Raw genomic sequence first — 7,639 nt, forward strand, 5'->3', positions numbered from 1 at the left:
CACATTCAAAGCATTCTGGATAGATGTAATTGTATTTAAGGGCTAGAAAAGGAAAGTCCATAGCATCCTTTGGCTCCTTGATTCAGTGTTTGTGTCTTGTCAATTTATTAAGAAATGAGACTTTCCTAAGTCTCTTGTGTATAGCTTGAGCCATCCATTGCTATATATTAATAATTCCTTTCCAGATATTTAAGAACCCTAACTTCAACTCCTTTTGAGTACAATGGGATATTTATGCCATGTATTGGTATATGCTGAGGCATTGAGATTAACAGTTTCTTTGGCTTAGAAATGAAGGTAAACAGAGCCCTATATTGTGTATTACTATGAAGGATATTGGGTTTCCCTGTAGTATCCACTTCTATTTAAAAGCAAAACCAAACCAAACAAAAGAAACAGTTTATGAATAATTAATGAACAAACTAGTTTTGTGTTCACGTCAGAGTGTTGTAAAGTTTTGCACAATCAATCAATCTGATCATAATCCTTAGCGTGAAATAGTCTGGGAGGGTATGGCTGTTATTGTGCATGTGCACATACATGCATGTGCATGTGTGTGTATTCCAATCAATGTTAGTGTATTGATGTATTATTGGTGAATTCGGTAGTTTTACGTTTATGCTTACATTATTCTTGATTGCACCTTTTGTCCCTCTATGTGGCCCAGCTTCTAACATATTGTAATTGTATCTCTTTCAGTGATTCTTGAATTTATTCTTATCATCTGCCTACATTTGGATGCTTTGTGTTTTGGAAATCCAAGACATCATATTGCTTGGTAGCTAAGATTTGTGACAACTGATGACCCCACTCTGTAGAAAAAGCCAGAGAAATTTACTAGTGGCCCTAAGACTACCACCTCAGGACTTAAATAGCTCAATAACAAAAGCTCCTTCATTTTCCTCAGCACATTAAACACTGATATCCTTTGTTATGGATGTATAATATAGGAACCAGGATGATCTTGCCAAGGTGTTCTTAATTCTGGCTACACATTAGAATTACTTTTAGAGCTTTTTTTAAAAATGCAGTTGTCCATGCCTCACTTCTCCCAGTGAAATCAGAATCTTCAAGGATGGGGATTACTGTTTAAGAGTTCCTCAAGTGCTTAGTGTGCAGTCAGAGTTGGGGACCACTTACGTAACTACAGTAAGTTAATACATCATTTTAAAATTTTGACCCTGGTTACTAACAAGGTTTAGTAGTCCCTACTACTAAGTAGTTCTTGTGTTTTAGGAAGCTTGTCATCACATTTTATTTTGTATTTGAACTCATTCATGTGGATATTTTGTCTCTTGTCTTTACTTCATCTTCGCTCCTCTCTTAATTTACCCTTAAGAAATGCAAATCTCCTTGTGAAAGAGGAAAAGTAAGATACTCACTCCTTCTTTTTTTTTTTAAGGTTGTGTGGAGGAAACTTGGAGATGCTGCAGGTTCGTGTCCTGGAATTAGGCAACATTTGTCAGGAAACCAGTACAAAGGACCAATGTGAGATGCACTCTTTTTCAAACAGGAGATCACCACTGCCAGAAAGTGATAGAAGACAAGAAGAAAAAGGAAAGAGTGGGTTTCCACAAACCTGGACTCATGGAATAACATGGAGTGATTGTACATTGCACATATCTCCCCTCTAAAACCTGTAGTACAACTTCTCCCCTCAAGCTGATATTCTGTGTCTCTCACCTCAATGTCCACAACAGTCAATCTCAAACAAGGTAGCTTTGAACATCTCAAACAGAGTAGCTTTGAAAATCAACATTTTGGTACCAGTGTTTTCATTAGAAATAAGTGTTTTTAACTCCCCAGATATAATATTGTAATTGGGAAACCTGAATAGTTTTAAGAGTCCAGTGGAGCCTCAGTGTTTTGAATAGAGATGACTCATTACACATAATGGTAGGAGTTTTCTACCATATCATATTGAAGATATGAAGAGGTATTTTCCAGCTTCCCAAGTTTGAGAGTTGGGCATTTACCTCTTACACTTCAGTCAACAAACAAACTAGTAATTCCTAATGCATAATTAATTTGGATGCAAGATAAGATTAAGTTTCTGGAGTTTTGTTTTGACTTCTGAGGTGCTAAAAAATACCATGTAAATTCTCCCTACCAGCTAGAAGGGTAGCAAGACGTTGTAGAGTGCTTATCAGAGAGTACCATTTACTTCAATTGATCAATATAAATATATCTTTTTTTTTCATCTTAATGAGTTTCTCATAAAGACACATCTTGGGGCATACCAACCTTCATATTCATTCAGTGTATCCATTGGTGTTAATATTAACAATTTCAACTAAAAACAACAAACATAATTTTTCTAAGTGTTTCGAGCTGTGAGATGTCAATTTCTACAATTTAGTTTCTAGACATGCTGTATATTTAATAAACTTTATGTAAACTTTAAAATATTGCACTGCATTTATGAAAAAAGCTTTCTTTGCCTACTGCAGCTATCTAACATTTTATGAAACTGACGCATGTCCTTCATTATTGAGGCTAAAAGCTCTTGTTCAGATTGCTTGAGGTTTGAAAAAGAGGTGTGCTAGCTTTGCTTAGTTTATTTCTTATTTTTGGTATACATATACATATATATAACATTAGAATGTGTGTACTGGAAATGCTATGATAGGTATTTTGTGTTAATCCAAATGCAATGATAGTTTCTTGTATGAATGTGCAAGAGGCCTGTGACCGAATGCTACGTTTTTATGGTAGTTTAAGATTATAAAAGTAGAAATGCAACAATTCCCAGTTTTTGGATAGGTTCTAAATTTCTGAGATTTGATTCATGGCAGATATTCTCTGTTGTTGTTGTTTTAGATGGGCTCATTACATAACGAGTTAATTGTCACTAGTAGGAGACTGTGAAGGAATTTTGTTATACTTTCAAAAATGTTACTGTGATGAAAAATCATCTATTTTCAGAAAATATTTATGAATTAATTTACTATAGAATTATCTCTCTAATTATCATAATTGGGTTACAATTTAAGCTCCCCTTTTAAATGTTATATTTTAAAATGTTATTACTCTATAAAAGAAAATTGCTTGCTATATTTACACCTTCTTTCCTAGGAAAGCTTTCATCCTTAAATTGTTGTATTCCTACCCTCTGAAGACATTTAAAATAAGCTTTTGTGCCTGCAGCAGAGCCTGCAGAAGCTAATACAAGGGACACTGGTCTTTTGACAAAATAAACTTGTGTAAATTTTGATACTGTATTAAAACTATTTTTTTAAAGTTCTGCATAAAATTGAGTATTAAGTATATGTGTTCATCTTAGCAATGGTAATAAATTATTTAATCTCACAGTGTCTTTGTCTTCTTCAAAATGTCTTTCCTAAATTGAGTCCATTTGTAATAGTCATGACGTGTCCTAATGCTCCTATGTGATGGTAGTAATAATAGTAATACAGATGATTCATTATCTTAAACATAAACCAAAGGCATGTTTTAAAATGTGCTCATAATGAGGGATTAAATATTTAGATATTCCTCAACTTGCACCATTCTGTATTATAATGGAATTAAAGCTTTCAAATGATATTTAAAATATTTAAAAATGTTTCTGTTATAAAATCCTCTTAGTCTTTTAATTTATATAGATTAAAATTAAACTTAATTATTATCTACTTATTTTTAAAACAGTCATCAGAAGGAAATATTTTGGAGAGGAAATACCAAATAAATGAAAAACTTGGCCTCTTTAAGGGACTTATACGTTATTCAGAAAGGCGTAATATATACATGTGACTAAGAGATCAATAGGAAAAGACACACACAAATGTGCTCAGAGAACACATACTTCTTGGATGTCACTAATAAGATTGTGGAATAAGGCCTTCTACACTTAGTATTAGCCTCAACTTTAAATGACAGAGAAGATGGACAAATAAGTGCCTGAATCTTGCTATTGCCTAATACCTTTATCAATCAAAATGAGTGGCACCATTCACTTGTGTGACCAGGTTATTAGTTTATGATCTTATCTTCCCTGGGACAAAGGTTAATGTATCTATCTTGGCAGAATATTTTTACCAGCCTTGAAGCTGATAGACTGACAACCAGAATCTGAGCTTTTAAATGAATGCCTTTCAAGCTTCAAACACATGCTTAAGGCACTATAGGAAATTCAGATCATCTTATGTAATTTCCAGTAAAGTAGCGACAGTCTAATTGGGATGATTGTTCCTTAGGTCAATGAATATTTAATGAATGCCTATCACTGCCATGTGAGTAAACACAGCATTGGTTCCTGACTTATAGTGTGGACTGCTCTCAAGAATTACATTTAAGAGTAGTATCTGGGATGCTAGCTGGATCTTTTTGATCCTTGAGATCGTGATAGGGTTACCTCAAACATCCAGTTTCTTGATCTGAGTAAGCAGTATCCAAATGATTTCCACTAATTTCCAGAGTTCACATTCTTTAGTAAGCTTCTTGTTGCCTCATTCCACCTCTACATCAGGGGCAAACTGATTTCTCCAGTAGAAACCTTGGTTGCAATCTATTCCTGGAAAGGATCTGCCTACCTCAAGCTGGCTTATCAAGGTAGATGCCCAAAAAAGCTCAAGGCACCACTATGAGGAATTCATATACTAATATACATTTTTAATTCTTTTCCTTCTAAAGAATAAAAATTATCCACCCTGTTACACAATTACAAACAGTATATTAAGTTGAACCATAGGAAATTGCCAATATATGACCACTTTTGGATTATTAAAACAGTAATTTCATACGGTCCAACCTCTCAAGATGAAGATATTTTTTGGTTGGAATTATAGAGTGAATACAGTAGAAGTTATAGAAGAGTCATCACATTGGGCTGGAGCTATCTTAAAGTATGCTGTATTAAGTGCAGCATTGAATAAATAGCATTTGACTTTAGAGAGGCAGAATTTGGGCCTGCAAGTTCAGTATTTGACTTTATAATTAGCTTTCTGAGTTTGACCAATTTAACTTCACTGAGACTGTTTCCTTACGTGCTGTATGGAGATAAAATCTATATTGCTGAGTTGTTGTAAGGCTTTTATTGCTGCCTTAATTTTAAAGTTCAGTGGTCTTGACAGCGAATGAGGAATAATAGCAAGTCTTTAAAGACAAAGGATCCCAGACCCCGTGGTCTGTTGCAATTTATACTATTAGACTAGAAGAGAAAAATCACATTAAGTGCTGAAGGGTCTGTCACTACTAGATAAAGTAATTCTAGCTGCACAGTTAAATACTATGAAGTCCTGCCCTTTTTACATCATCCAGCCTACCACAGGCTCTTTCATGGCCAATCACAGATGGTGATTGTGTGGGTGGAGGGGAAAAAAAGGACATTGGTCTTATATTCACGTATGAACAGTAGGTTTTACAAACAAAATCCCTACAACTATTTAATTCGGTATTTGTTTTTCATCTCACTGAGAAAACAAGAAAAAACTTTGATTTCAAAATGGCAGGATGAGTACCTGCTGCAGCTTCCTCTTCTTGCCTCAAACCTTAAAAATGATGTAAACAGTATTTCGATAAATAAATCCATAACCCCACTAGATCATAAGAAATAATGTGCTCCATGGGCCAGCAGTTATGATGAATTTTGGAAAGAAGGGAGACAAACAGTATCTGAATGAAGAACGAATCAATTCAAAGCACATGACGAAGGATATTGTTGAAAAAGGAAGATGGCTACAAGGGTGCTCCGAACAAAGAGGAATTTGACGCATGCATTGTATGGTATCCTGGGGTAACTGACAATAGCTAGGCATCAAAACTCCTGCATATAACTGCTCTCTCCTTGACTCAGGAAGAGAACAATAAAAATAGATTCATTTTGCTAGAATTCAGCGGAAGATTTTTTTAAAGTCTGAAAATGAAGGGAAATAGAGTCTGCATTTGTAAGTTTCCACAGTGCTTTCTCTCACTCTCTACTCTCTCTCACTCTCTACTCTCTTCATCCTTCTCTGCTTTTATTTCCTAGTTGATTTTTAATTGACCTATTTTATTTATTTATTTCTTTATTTCAATAGCTATTGGGGAACAGGTGGTGTTCGATTACATGACTAAGTTCTATAGGTGTGATTTCTGAGATTTGGGTGCACCCATCACCCGAGCGTACACCGAGTGTACACTGTACCCAATGTGTAATATTTTATCCCTCATCCCCTTCTCCCACTTTCTCCCCAAACCCCCAAAGTCCATTATATCATTCTTATGCCTTTGCATTCCTCAAAGTTTAGCTCCCACTTGTAAGTGAGAACATAGAGTGTTTGGTTTTCCATTCCTGAGTTACTTCACTTAGAATTACGGTCTCCAACTCCATCCAGGTTGCTGCAAATGCCATTATTTCATTCTTTTATGGCTAAGTAGTATTCCATGGTGTGTGCGTGTATACATGGGTCATTGGGTATACATGGTGTATACATGGGTCATTGGGTCATTGCCTTGGAAAGAGGCGGTGACTCTCGGGTGTTGCCATGGCAATGATAAATTGACATGGCAGACTGGTGGGCATGTCTGATTGGAAAGCTGCTTCTGCCTTCCCCCCTTTGTGTATACACACACACCGTGGAGTACTACTTAGCCATAAAAAGGAATGAAATAATGGCTTTTGCAGCAACCTGGATGGAGTTGGAGACCATAATTCTAAGTGAAGTAACTCAGGAAATATATATATATATATATATATATATATATATATATATATATATATGATTCAAGGGCAAGCCAGAGGTAGAAGAAAACAGCTTTATGGAAGAGGCAGTGTTACAGCTCCCTGACTGCTCCTACAGAGCAGGGCTACCCCATAGGCAAAAAGTGGCAGCTCAGGACAGTTTTGGAGTCATATTTATACCCACTTTTAATTGCATGCAGATTAAGAGGTGGTTTCTGCAGAAATTTCTAGGGAAGTACTCCTTCCCTATGACAAAAGCACCCAGTCCCTCTACTTATGTAACTTTTGGGTCATCGGGTCATTGCCATGGAAAGAGGTGGTAACTCTCAGGTGTTGCCATGGCAATGATAAATTGACATGGTAGACTGGTGGGCATGTCTGATTGGAAAGCTGCTTCTGCCCTCCCCTCTGTTTTAGCTAGTGCTCAGTCTGGTTGCTTGTCTGAGCCCTGCATCTGGAGTTGAGTCCCGTCTCCTACCTCAGTGTCATGTAGTAGTAGGAGCTGTGATCACAGGTCCCGTTATATATTCATTAACCTTTAAAAAGTTCTGCTAAGCCAAAACCACTTTTTGCCATGTAAGGTTGTCAACCTTTATAGCTTATTAAAGTTTTGGGTCAGAGCTGAAATTTTTCTCCTTACAAAATTATCGGCTTTGCTAACAAATCCCCATCCAAAGGAGAATTATAAATTGTTCATCAACTGTTACAAGAGAAGATCCATTTATCCACCTGCTCATTTGGTGTACAAAACATTTGGAGATTACTTTAATGCACAGTCAGTATAGAAATGTGTGTTTCAATCACTGGTCAGAAAGTATGATCTAATTTTTCTATCGTCCACCTCTTTACAAAAGCCCGACTGAGAAAAGTTTCATTTAGGGAAAATAAGGTACCCACTACTTTTGATAATTTAAAACTGTAATTAAAACATATTAGATACCAGAGTTTAACATATAAACTTGGCTTATGGAATCACCT

The 7,639-nt window shown here is 35.9% G+C and overlaps 1 protein-coding gene across 7 annotated transcripts in view; it reads left to right on the top strand.

Annotated features, from left to right (window-relative positions):
• Window positions 1-3,311, top strand: part of CCDC85A (coiled-coil domain containing 85A) — a 202,323-nt gene extending 199,012 nt beyond the window's left edge. For 6 of the 7 annotated variants that reach the window (XM_024452642.2, NM_001348512.1, NM_001348513.1 and 3 more), the window contains one exon: window positions 1,403-3,311. In XM_024452642.2, the coding sequence (XP_024308410.1) occupies window positions 1,403-1,492 (90 nt within the window). In that variant the 3' untranslated portion in view covers window positions 1,493-3,311. The remainder of the gene's footprint in view (window positions 1-1,402) is intronic. The other variant, NM_001080433.2, reaches the window with a different exon arrangement.
• Window positions 3,312-7,639: the final 4,328 nt, after the last annotated feature.

Source organism: Homo sapiens, chromosome 2 (assembly GCF_000001405.40).
Source record: "Homo sapiens chromosome 2, GRCh38.p14 Primary Assembly".
Taxonomy (NCBI): domain Eukaryota; kingdom Metazoa; phylum Chordata; class Mammalia; order Primates; family Hominidae; genus Homo; species Homo sapiens.